General features: G+C 34.5%; 1 protein-coding gene across 52 annotated transcripts in view; it reads right to left on the bottom strand.

The window, feature by feature from the left end:
* EHBP1 (EH domain binding protein 1) overlaps nucleotides 1-13,890 on the bottom strand; it is a 372,610-nt gene that overhangs the window by 87,848 nt on the left and 270,872 nt on the right. For 36 of the 52 annotated variants that reach the window (XM_047443744.1, NM_001142615.3, XM_011532718.4 and 33 more), the window contains 2 exons: nucleotides 9,478-10,380; nucleotides 2,980-3,123 (listed from right to left, as the gene is read on the bottom strand). In XM_047443744.1, coding sequence (XP_047299700.1) covers nucleotides 2,980-3,123; nucleotides 9,478-10,380 — 1,047 coding nt within the window. The remainder of the gene's footprint in view (nucleotides 1-2,979; nucleotides 3,124-9,477; nucleotides 10,381-13,890) is intronic. The other 16 variants (XM_047443762.1, XM_047443770.1, XM_047443767.1 and 13 more) reach the window with 1 other exon arrangement.

The raw sequence follows: 13,890 nt of genomic DNA, 5'->3' as shown, positions 1-13,890 counted from the left end.
AACAAATGTATATACCTGTGTAATCAGACACAATAAAGCTATAAATCTTTTCTATCCCTCTAGAAAGTTTGCTCATGATATCCCACCTACCCTGGCATCAGGCAACCACCAATTGGCTTTCTGTCATGCTACGTTAGTTTTGCCTGTTGTAGAATTTCATGTGAATGTAATTATACATGTCCTCTTTTGTGTTCGCAGCATAATATCTCCAAGATTCATTTACATTATTGTGCATCTCAGTGTCCTGTTCCTTTGTATTGCTGGGTAATATTATATTGCATGGCTATATCAGGATGTGTTTATTCATTTGTCTGGTGATGGACATTTAAATTTTGTCCTGTTTCTGGGTACTACAAACAAAACTGCCATGAAATTTTGTGTAAAAGTCTTCGAATAACCATGTGTTTTTAGTTTTTTTGGTTATATACCTTAAAATGGAATTGCTGGGGTCATGTAAGTGTATGTTTAGCTTCATAAGCAATGGCCTGTTTTTCAAGATGGTTGTACCATTTTACATTCCTACTGGCAAAATGTGAGAGTTCTAGTTGCTCCAGATTCCTTCCACACTTGTTACTGTCAGTCTTTTAAATTCTAGTCATTCTCATAGTGGTATCTCACTGCGGCTTTGAGTTTCATTTGCTTGATAACTAATGAGACTAAAGATATTTCTTATTTCTTATGTGCTTGTTGGCCATTTGTGTATCTTATTGAAATATAATTTATTTTCACATTTTGGGAGGCCGAGGCGGGCGGATCACGAGGTCAGGAGATCAAGACCATCCTGGCTATCACGGTGAAACCCTGTCTCTACTAAAAATACAAAAACATTAGCCAGGCATGGTGGTGGGCGCCTGTAATCCCAGCTACTTGGGAAGCTGAGGCAGGAGAATGGTGTGAACCCGGGAGGCGAAGCTTGCAGTGAGCCGAGATCGCACCACTGCGCTCCAGCCTGGGTGACATGGCGAGACTCCATCTCAAAAAAAAAAAAAAAAAAAAAAGCATTTATTTTCAAATATTAATTTTATGTCCAGTAATCTTGTAATTTTGGGGGAATTTTCTATGTACGAATCATACTTCTGGTGAATAATGGTAATTTTATTGGTCTCTTTTCATATGTTATACCTTTTTATTTCTTTTCCTTGTCTTAGGTTCCCCATTATGATATTGAACAGAAGTGATAGTGGACTTTCCTGTCTTTTAATCTGTCACAAATGGAAAGCTTTCAATATTTCACAATTAAGTATGTTTGCTATAGGCTTTTTATATGTACATTTTAGCACATTAATAAAGTAATAAAGTTCCTTTCTATCCCTAGAGGCTAAGAAATGTGATTCTTTTCTCTCTGTGGATCATGAATGGATGTTGATATTTTTCCAACCTTTTTCTATATCTGCTTGATTTTTCTTTATTCTGTTAATGTTGTCAATTACATTGCTTGAGTTTTGAAAAATTAAACAATCTTGCATTCCTAGAATAAATCCAAATTGACCATGGTATGTTAACTTTTAAAAATAACTTCTGGGTTGAATTTGTTAATATTTTCTATAGGATTTTTACATCTATGTTCATAACTGAAATTTGCCACTAATTTTCCTTTCTTACAATAAACTTAAAGTGATTTTGTTTTTAAGAAAAGCTAGATCATAAGAATGCCACATATTTATGCCTTATTCCATTGGGACACTTGTTCTTGGAAGTCAGCCACCATGCTATGAGGAAGCCCACACTAGAGAAGTAGAGAGACCATATGGAGAGGCCACATGTAGGTGTTCCAACTGACAGTCTGGCAGAGGTCTTATTAGCTGAAAGCCAGCCCCAGACGTCATGGAACATAAACAAGCCACTACCACTGTGTCCTATCTGAATTCTTAACTCACAGAATCTATTAACCTAATAAGATGGTTGTTTTTTGCCAGTAAGTTTTGCGGTGGTTTTTTTTTTTTTTTTTTTTCTGTAAGTAGAGATGGGGTGTCACTGTTGCCTAGGCTGGTCTCAGACTCCTGGGCTCAAGTGATCCTCCCACCTCAGCCTCTCAAAGTGTTGGGTACAGGCATAAGTCACCATGCCTAGCCCTGCAGTGGTTTTTAATGCAGGAATAGATAACTTGAAAGAGGAAGGGTGGGAAAATATCTTGGGACTATTCAAAGCATAGTCTCATAAGCAATAGGGTACTTCTTTGGGTAAACGTGAAACACATGCAACAAGGTGACCAACCTGGCATGTAGCTACCTAGCTATATGGCACAGAGCTGCTCTTTCTGGGAAAAACAACTACTAACACATGATGGTGCTGTGGTGAGACTGTCACAGTTTTCTCATTCATGAAGATGTTTGTGTCCTCCTAAATTTTAAGGGCTCCTGTTATTATACATTCATTATTATCTGTGAAGCACTACACAAAAATATATATAAAAATGTGGTTTAGTACAAGGATGGCAGTATATGATAGGAAAGTGGACTGACTCTGGAATCTAATAAGGCTCAGGTTCAAATCCTGGATTCACCATTTATTGACTCTGTGACCTTGTACAAGTTACCTTGCCTATTGGCCTCAGTCTCCATGGAGTTAAGTAAAACAAAATTATTGTTCCTGAAATACTTAGTAGGTATTCAATAAATAATAGACATCAGTATTATATTCAAACATTTCCAACAAAATTAACTTCCATTGACAAAATACAATCTTAGAGTACAACTACAGTTATAAAATATAAATTAACAAAAAACAGATTATTCATGTATATGTGGAAATTATATTCCCAGATCTTACTTTTCCTCATCACTAACACTGCTCTGTAGGAATAATGATCAAATGGTCCTACAAGTATGAATTTATCTTTATCAGTTCAGTAAGTGCACCAAGTATTCACAATGTACAGTCCGTAGAAAAATAACATAGCAGAAATACAAGCAAATTACTTCCCTCCTCCCCATGATTACAATGAACAACTTATGGTCTTTTTTAACCAATGCTCCTCACATCACTTAGCTGCCTGTTGCAGAATGGGGTGGCTGTGTTGGTATTGTGCTTATTCCCCGCCTTTAAGGCTGCATCTCTTCTTGCTTGCTCAAGCAGAACTCTTGCTCTTTCCTTAAGTTCTTCTTGTCTAGATAACAATCGATGCTTAAAAGCAAAGATACAGAATTAGAAGCCAAAAAAAAAACGGGTAATCTACATTTGTAAACTAATGAAAGGTTAGACAATCTGCTGAAATAATAGAGATTATGAATAAGATTGTAGCTTCATGAGATTACCTATAGAGAATATTAATGTTGACTAGAAACTGTGGAACAAATATATAAATCTTGACATGAGGGAAATACATCTTTACTGTCTAAAACTGGATTAAATTTAATTATAATTTTATTAGAACATATTCTCATTAGGTATGAGGCTAATATATATTCTATATATTCTCAGTATTTGCTCATAAACACAGTATAATCTGACAAAGACATTTTTTAAAGTTCAGAGTTTTATTTTTAGTCTTATAGAATTGATAACAACATGTCTTCCAAATTTGAATGTTGATAAATATTAAATATCTGTGGCGATAATCCTTTAAATCCTTGAGAATGTTTATAGAAAATTCAAAGCTATTATATTTCATTAAAAAAAAGTAAAACTAGTCTTCCCCATTGCTCACTATCCTTATAACAAAACAATTGAAAATATTAGAATTGAAAAAGTATTCTCCTGGATTAATCTGTAATTTTACAATGTAATTTTGGAGAACAACAGATACTGTCCATCAACAGAGATCAGTTCTTAAACCAAAAGCACAAATATTCATACTCCTTATAGTCCAAATTCCTTTTTTTTCTACTAAGTAACCAACTTCTGGCTTTAGATGTCTATTACTATTATCAGATACTTAATTTCTTTTACTTCCCTTTCATTGCATAGTTTTGGTTCAATCATAAGTATCACTGTCAAGGAAAAGAAAATAAGTGTAGCTATTACTTTATTTCATATTATGTGAAACCATCTTTTTTAAGATTAGTTCAGCATTTTTGGGCTTCTTTGTGGTCTTTATATTTTACTACAACTATTTTTTAAAGCCTTTTTTTCTATAAACTTAAAGAAGAAAAGATTTTTCTTAAAGTGTACAATTCAGTGGTTTTTAGTATTTCATAAGGTTATGAACTATCACCACTACCTAATTCCAGGACATTTTCATCACCCAAAGATTTTTAAGAGGATTAAACAAAAATTCTTAACTTAATAGATACAAATAAAATGTATAAGTGATAACGATAAGTCTAAGTTCATGTTGAATAGGACACAATAGAATTTAGTTACAATATCAACAGTGTCTCAAAAACAGACAAAATTAATTAAATGAACACTGAATTTTCAGTCAAGACATCAGGCTGTTAATCCCTCTCCCACTAATAATAAGCAATGTAACATTGAGCAGGTCAGTTAAAAACTTACTGCATTCCATTACATGATGTGGAGTCAGACAGACCTGGGTTCAAATATCAGTTCCACCACTTAATTATGGGCAAGTTAATTTCTCTAAGCCTCAGTTTCCTCATTTATAAAATAAGGATAGAAATAGACCAACTCTCAGAAGGACAGGGCAAAGATTAAATAATAGCATAATGTACTGAGCACTGGCACATGGCAAGCACTGAATAAACATTAACTACTTGTTTTAATCCCTTGATTTCCTAATCTTTGAAATGAGGGATCATCTTTAAGATCTCACTAGCTCTAAATTCTGTGATTTTATAGTCTTTTGGTAATTCCAACCAGCTACATGGACAGTGAAAAGATGTTTTGGTCTTAAGACCAAAATCAAATCACCAAAAGATTATAAAATCACCAATTGTGTTTAACAGCACATAAACACAGTTTTTTTTTAATTTTCCTGGCTAGAAATGCAATTCACTACAGAGATTTCAGAAAATAAATACAAGTTAAAAAGAAAAAAATAAACATTAGTAGTAGTCCTGGTACCCAGAGATAATAACTGTAGAATCATGCTTTTTTTTTCACTTATTCTATTTTGAGCATTTTCTCATGGTCTTAAATGTTTTTTAAACATAATTTTTTTATTATTTTATTTTATTATTTTACTTTTTTGAGACAGGGTCTCACTCTGTCACCGAGGCTGGAGTCCAATGGCATGATCACAGCTCACTGCAGCCTTGACCTCTCAGGCCCAAGCGATCCTCTTACCTCAGCCTCCCAAAGTACTGGGATTACAGGTGAGCCACCATGCCCAGCCTAAAACTTGATTTTTAATTGGCTACCTAACATTATATTGTATAGATGCATCATACGTTAGTTAACTTGTCTTATTTTGCTGAACATTTAGGTTGCACACAATTTTTTACTATCATAAATAATGCTTTTATGAATATCTTTAGAAGTAAATTTTTATTATACCTTTTTTTTTTTTTTTTTTTTTTTTGAGACGGACTTTCGCTCTTGTTGCCCAGGCCGGAGTACAATGGCGCCAGCTCGGCTCACCGCAACCTCCGCCTCCCGGGTTCAAGCAATTCTCCTGCCTCAGCCTCCCGAGTAGCTGGGATTACAGGCATGTGCCACCACCCTGGCTAATTTCATATTTTTAGTAGAGACAGGGTTTCTCCATGTTGGTCAGGCTGGTCTCAAACTCCCGACCTCAGGTGATCCACCCGCCTTGGCCTCCCAAAGTGCTGGGATTACAGGAGTGAGCCATGGTACCCGGCCATATTATACAATTCTAATTATTTCCTTAGGAAAAATTCCTGAAAGTAGGATGTAATGAGATAAAGATTTTTAAGGAATTTGATTCACATTGTTAAATTGCCCTTCAGTAATGTTGACCACATTATATTTGGGCTACGATTATTTTTTAATGCTATTATGGTAAATAAAGATGTTATAAGCATCAAGTGGAGAAGCACAGACTTTGAAGACAAGGTTGCTTTTGAATTCAAACTTTAACATTTATCATGTAATCTTAAGTAACTCTGCAAACCTCAGATTTCCCACATATAATATAGAATTTGACTACTTACCTTATGAGTTGTAAAGTCTAAGAGATAGGTGTAAGATATATAACTGTCATCACATGTATTAGGCACCCAAATGGACAACATTATGACTTTGTTAAGTATATAAAGCCATATTAAAGTTACTAAATTTCCTCTAATCCAATGGTCTTAATTGTAAGAGTTACTATTATTTTATGAACTACTAAGAAAGAACAAACGCTGTCAATTAAACTCTAATACACTATCTATTATAAATAATATATTGATTTCGGAGAAGTTAAAATGTAAAAAGATGTGTATCTGAGAATTGAAATACTTTGTACAAAAGAGAAACAGATTTTTAATTGTCCAAAATTCAGCTGCTATATACAATTTTAAAAGCCTACCAAATGTCAGCACCTATATTACAGTGTTTATTGTTAGACATTACTTTTGCCAATCCAGTGTCAATAAAAACCTTTAAACTTACCCCAAGAAAAATTCTGAATAAGCCAATGGCCAAAGAGAAAACATACATGGAGCTATGAATAGACATTGCTTCTATCATCCAGTACACTTTAATCATCTGAATAGAATCACAGAATGATAGTTTCACAGCTAAAGGGGTTCTTAAAGATTGCTTCATTTAACATACATGGAAAATAAGATCGAGAGAGGCTAAATGGCTAGTTAACATGTCACACTACTAATTTATTGGGAGAGTCAAAACGAGATTCCAGGCTTACTGATTCCCAGTCCAGGGTATTTTAAAATTTTAAACATCAATCAATTCCTAGTTTTAACTAAACATATTTGCCTTAAAAATCTGGTTTTCAAGAAAAATCTGGCCAGGCGCGGTGGCTCACACCTGTAATCCCAGTACTTTGGGAGACTGAGGCAGGAGGATCACCTGAGGTCAGGAGTTCGAGACCAGCCTGGCCAATGTGGTGAAACCCCATCTCTACTAAAAATACAAAAATTAACTGGGCATGGTGGTACACACCTGTAGTCTCAGCTACTCGGGAGGCTGAGGCAGGAGAATCACTTGAACCCGGGAGGAGAAGGTTGCAGTGAGGTGAGATCACGCCACTGCACTCTAGCCTGGGTGACAGGGCAAGACTCCACCCCCCCCCCCCAAAAAAAAAAAAAAGAAAAATTTGTATTGAATATGACAATTTAGGGTCATCAAGTTCTTGAAATTGTCAATCACTAGATGTTTATTGATTATCTACTATGTGTGGACATATGCTGTCCTGAAAGCTTTCAGAGAGATTTAGCTACTTAGGACTTTTGATTTGAGGTTTATGATTAGGAGAACAGGGGCTTGCTTTGGCAGCTATTATATTTCTTTAATTCTAAGATATAAATTCTTTCTTGACACCTCTGAAAACTTATAAATGGCAGAATCTTACACTCTCTGTCATCCAGGTGGCAGTTAAGACATGGTTGTCTACCTATACGTATATTGTTTGATATTTCAGTTGGCATGATGGCAATTCCTTGATGTTTCAGTCAACACCACTTGAGGACTATTTGAGAAAGAAACATAACTCCAGATTACTGTCTAAAAATCTTCTGTTGAAACCTTCTGGTAAAGCCAAGAAAGTGCCATTATCAATCAGTATACTGACTTGGAAGAAAATCCCAGAGACAGTTGTGGAGAAATGCTATAAATTCAGAGGTTCGGGCCGGGCGCGGTGGCTCACACCTGTAATCTCAGCACTTTGGGAGGCCAAGGCGGGTGGATCACCTGAGGTCAGGAGTTTGAGACCAGCCTGACCAACATGGAGAAACACCGTCTCTACTAAAAATACAAAATTAGCCGGGTGTGGTGGCACATGCCCGTGATCCCAGCTTCTCGGGAGGCTGAGGCAGAAGAATTGCTTGAACCTGGGAGGCACAGGTTGTGGTAAGCCAAGATGGCACCATTGCACTCCAGCCTGGGCAACAAGAGTGAAACTCTGTTTCAAAAAAAAAGAAAAAACAACTCAGAGATTTCCCAATTTTTTGGTCTCGAAATCCCCATATATGCTTAAAAATTATTGAGGATCCCAAAAAACTCTTGCTTATACAGATTGTATCTACTGATATTTGTCATTTTTGATATTAAAACTGATATATTTTTAAAATATTTTTTTCATTTAGAAGTAGCCACAATGAACTCATTAGATGTTAACACATTTTAATAGAAAATAATTACTTTAAAAACAAAAATTGAGAAGGGTGGCAGTATTTTACATATTTTGTAAATCTCAATATAAAAGAAAGCAGCTGAATTCCTATATCTACTTTTGTATTCAATCTGTTGAGATATCACAAATCATGTAACTTCCAGAAAATGCCATCATACTCTTGTGAGAGAATGAGAGTGATAAAGGCAAACAATGCCCTAGTATTATTATGAAAATAGCTTTAACTTTGGGGGCTCTCTGAAAGGGACTTGGAGAACTTCAGAGGCCCCCAAATCTGGCTTTGAGAACCATTTACTGTAACAATGCTTTTGATGGCACAGAGGATAACTGTGCAGAAAAAAAAAAAAGGAATACCAACAACTCTAAATCAAAAAGTGATTCAGAAGAGCTGGATTCTAAATGTGAAAAACTTTTAGGAATACCTTAATCAATTTATTTTGCCTAAAATTTCCTCCTTATATATACACGAGTGTTATCTGATCAAATAATCTATGCCTAAATAAGTCTAAAAGAGCTCTTTCAATAGCTATAAAAATTCTGAGTGATAGGAAAACCAGGTATCATAACTTTATTGACAATGTTGTTCTTTTTTGTTGTGGTACATAAAATATTAGTATATCTTATAACTGATGGTACCAGAGATACAAGTAAAAACAGTAAATTATTAATATCATCAGTAAGAGAAAGGTTAAAACCGTACAGTATTCCCTTCATGAGGAGAAATTTGGATGCTGCAGGGATTTTTAACCACAAGTAATGATGGGACTAAATAAACCAACTAAAATACCTAAGGAAAATGTTTTAAATGGGAAATATTTAATTTGGCATTATACATTTTTAGAATGATGTTCTTATTAAATGGAATATTGAAACATCTTTGATTTATTTTATAGTAGAATATTGTTTTTATAAGTAATATTTTTATTTGAAAAGTTGACATTCTTTATCCTTCAATTTTTTTCTCATAGCCTTATTACACAATATCCTTCAGTGTTGAAATTGGGATTTTTAGGCTTAAAATATTATATCATAAACCTTAAATATACAGCAGGTATATTTCAGGTTTTTCTTTTCTTGAGACAGGGACTCGCTATGTTACCCAGGCTGGTTTCAAACTCCTAGGCCAAAGCAATCCTCTTTCCTCAGCCTCCCAAATAGTGGGGACTTAGGCACACATTACTACATGCCTCAGGAGTTTTTATAATAGAAATTACACTTCACCTTTAATCATTTGTAGCATCTATGAATGCAAAAAGAAACAAAAACAGAGAATAACTAATTACTAAATATAGTATTCAGCATTCTAACTCACTTACCTGGACTATTTTTGATGAATGATCTGCATGATTTAAAGTGGTTCTATCAGCATCTGGATCAGACTCCGTCTGCCTCAGGGAAGCATGTTTTTTCTTAGCAAGGTCTAGATCTCTACTATATGAGTATCCAAGTTTAGAAGTAGGAGATAAACTTGTTTTTTTGATAGGAGATTCTGGATCTGATCTGCATTCTAAGGATCTGGAATTCTCTAATTTTTCTTTCTCCAAGTTACTACCGATGTCTAGAGTTTGAAGCTTTTGTTCATCTGTCTCCTCACAAATAAAGGGTGGAGACATATCCTTCTTCTTATCACTAACATATAAGTCACTCAATTCTAAAGTCTCAGCTTTCAATAGTCTCTTTTTGCCTAACAAAACCTGTGCTTGGGTTGAATCTGTATTGGAACATATTCCAGGGTCATCAGATCCTGAAGTCCTTCCAGAGCTCTGCTGAGACTTCTGGGGTTCTGTGTCACTTTTAGTCCTGCGACAGTAAGGGGAGGCTGTGCTTGGACTAAGGTGATCATCAGGAGTTTGATGCTCACTTTCTGACTCTCCAACCCCGCTATCATTTACAAATACAGAGTCATCCTGTGATAAGAAGTCTACTGCTCCGCTGATAGGCTGTTGTAGTTCAGGCTCCCGCTTCAGATCACTAAGCTCTGCATAGAATTTTTCTTGATCAACAGAACTGTTTGTATCTGTTTCATAGTTTCCAACTTTATATGTGCTTTTACTGCTGTTTTCCTCTATCTGAACGACATTTAGTTCTTGGCCACTGAAATGTGCCCTTATTTGATAGAGATAAGTCATAACAGTCAGTTTATCAGGAATTGCTAATAATACCATATCAGAAGGTTCCAATAATCGGGAAATTCCTATGCTGGCAAATCCATCGTATGCCTTCAAAGGAAGGAAAAACAAAAGATATATTGAACAGTTCATATAATTCACACATTTTAAAAAGAGCACATTTTTAATTTTTGTTGTTTGGGTACATGTTATCGACATTATGTCACATGAAAAGAACAAATTTCCAAAAGTCAGACATGTGTAAAAGTGGGGGGAGAGGCAAGAGAAAAAAGTGTAATAAATAAGAATTAAAATATTTTTTCCAATAAATGAAACAAGCAAAAATGAGAGTTAAATTTTTTAAAACTCTGAGAATGGATTTTTAAGATAAGGAACTAAAGTATAAAGAAACATTAGACTAATCCATATTGAGCTTTATCATTTCTATCAACCTCTCTTTTCCACAGTCATGTAATTGCAGTGATTTGTGAAGAAAAGCACAGCTAGATAAGTCAAAAGAACTACTAGATTACCTGATATAAAATACAAATAAATGCAATTTAAGCCTAGAAACAGAAACATTTTTAAATGCTCAATTAAGACTGATTTTCATAATGAAAAGAGTGACTTCATTTAATTCATTCATTTTGGAAAGAATGAAATGTTTTGAGTACTACAACCTAGTTGAGAATGTGAGGCTGCATTGTATTATTTTTGTTAGCCTTTAAATGACTGTGGCACATCAGGTTTTTCTAGTTTTGAATAATCTAAGCTGTTTCTCAATTTACAATTAATTATTACTATCCTGAACTAACCCTTGAAAACAGCATTGTGTTGCTAGGAAGCATTAAAAGTATGGCTAAAGGTTTAGATATACTCTCAGAGAAAGTAAGAACCGTCTAGATATATTCTTGCTCTGGGATGTAAAATGTTTACTCTTTTTAGCAACCTAGATTAAGGATTATAATTCAAAGTTTTTCTTAAAAGACATGTTAGGAAATTATGTAACAATTGAGAATGAATCAGTCTTCTGTACTTACTTGTTAAAGTACATTGCTATGTTTGAATTTAATCTTTGTCTCATATTCTTGTAGTTTAACAAACATTATGGAACAAGTAAGAAAGAAAATGAAAAATAAATTGTGATATTAAAACCTCTTCAATTTTCACAGCACTAGGCTTCATAATATAGGTACCTCAAAATATTTACTAGAGAGAATGACTCAGTTGGTGTGCATGTATAGGCTTGGTTTGTTATTTTACATGTTTTAGGAAAATTGAAGTCATTTTCCTTTTCATGTGTCTTGACAACTTGACTGACAGGCATCAATTGCAGGCCATCAGGGAAAGCACCACAGGCAGTATTCTAAACATTCCCAAATTATCTAAAAACACTGACATATTGGTTAAGATCAGATGTCACAGGAAAATGCCTTTTTTTATTCAGCACTTTTTACAGACCCAGGAAAATGATTAGCTTCCTTGTGGGGAAACTCCTGCTGGTGTTTTGCTTCATGTAGCAATTCATTTTATGTACACTAATTACACTAAAAAAACATTTAAAAACAAACTAGGTTTCTTTTAAGCAAGGTTAAGGCTTTATAAAGGACTTTTCCCATAGGTTAACCTCTTCTGCCATGGTCAACTAACTACCTACTGTTTTTCACCTGTTTGTGTGAGGTGAAAAAAGAGGTCTTTCTAAGAAAATTATCTTATTCATTTGTAGATGTTATTAAATTGGTAAGGAGGAGTTACTGCCAGTTATGTTATGCATCTGTATGAAATTTAAGACACAGGCATTGTTTTCCTATGGTGCTTTAAGTCCATTCAAGGGCACATGGGTTATTGGGAAGAAATGTGTGAAGCTAGAAGTAATTTGCAGGTAGCAACTCAATGTAGCTATCAGGTAAGAAGTAGCAAATGATGAAAGGAAAGACTATGTAAAAACAATTATTTATTGAATAATACAATGAATAGAATCATCAAAGATAAAGCCTTTCAAAAGCCATGATTGTCTGTACTGGAAGATTTAATTGAAAAAAAATTTTAATGGGACAGTCTTCTGTATGGAGTAATATGTAAATCCAAAGTATGCTTACCATTATTAAGTTAATGAAAAGCTAATGTAAAGAAGTGTGACTTAAGCCTTACTGAGATTCCCTATATTCTTTACACATTTATAATGAGGTAAAATCAACAATATTTCTTTTTCAAAATTTTGAACAGTAAGTTGAAACATCCACTTTAAAAAATGGTTTATTTTATAATGCTCATGTCTGTATTTAAATTGGCTTACCACTTTGTTCAAATGTAAGAAAATGGAGGTAAAGCACTGCCACACCCAAAGATATAATTTAATTGTAATTAATGAAAAAGAAGCATTTCACTTTAATAGACACAGGCTCTCCAAAATTATACAAGAATTAATTCATGAGAACAGTTTACTTTGTAACATGCCCATCCAAAGGGTAATTTCTGTAAGAAAACTATACTGATTTTTAAAGATTATCTTTTTTTTGGTGGCATATTTCAATAGAGACTGCCAGGTTTTTATTGCTCTACGGCCAGCATTATGCATTTGTGAAAAAACAACCATTTTTTTGTTTGTTTGTTTGTTTTTGGACACAGGGTCTTGCTCTGTCACCCAGGCTGGAAAGCAGTGGCATGATGCTAGCTCACTGCAGCCTCGGGCTCCTAGGCTCCAGCGATTCTCCCACCTCATCCTCCCAAGTAGCTGGGACTACAGGTGCATGCCACCATGCTGAGCTAACATTTTCATTTTTTGTAGAGATGGGGTCTTGCTACATTCCCCAGGCTGAAGAAACAAAATCTTTTTGATAGCAATACACATTTTTGGTTTTAGAGAGCAATACAAGTGAAAAATTGTTTTGATTTAAAGACTTGTTAATTGAACTTCTATCAAGGTCCCAAGACTTTGTATCACTAGTAATTTTAATTATTTAATTTAAAGTATGTTAAAAACTTTAGACTAGAGGTTATTAACCACTTTGTCTCATGAACCCTTTTGGCAATGGGTCCCTTCTCAGAATAATGTTTTACATGGATAAAATACATAGAATTACAAAAGACATCAATTATACTGAAAAATACACCTATGAAAGTATTACTTAAAATGAATTTGGGAAGTAGTAATATATGTGCTTTTTATGACTGCACTAATTATTTTGAAGAAGTTATAAGTGTAAAAGGTATTTGCAGATATCTGCAGCAACAACTATAGCATGACATGAAAATATCGAAAATATCTGTGATTTCTAAAGGTGACAAAGTCTCAGGCATGGTTAACACTATGGTGGTTTATTGCCTAAATTCATAATTGAAGGAAATGCTAAATTTCAGATGAGGAATTATGAAAGTAAAATGTATTTTTTCCCTCAACCATGTTCAAGGACACCCTGATTTCTACCCACAGTTCACAGGTTAAGAACTCCTGTTCTAAGACAATAATAAATTTCATTAATTTTTCAGTTGAAGAATTCAATTCAGTAGAAAAAAGCATTCAGTGCCTACTGTGTGCTGAGTTAGGTGCTTCCCTCTTTGCACACAGAATGCACATACTGTGTGCTGGGGTAAACAGATAAGTCAGCCTGTGGCCACAGT

The sequence above is a fragment of the Homo sapiens genome, chromosome 2 (assembly GCF_000001405.40).
Source record: "Homo sapiens chromosome 2, GRCh38.p14 Primary Assembly".
Taxonomy (NCBI): Eukaryota; Metazoa; Chordata; class Mammalia; order Primates; family Hominidae; genus Homo; species Homo sapiens.
The sequence above is the reverse complement of the archived record's forward strand: the minus strand, read 5'-3'. Positions and strand labels throughout refer to the sequence as shown.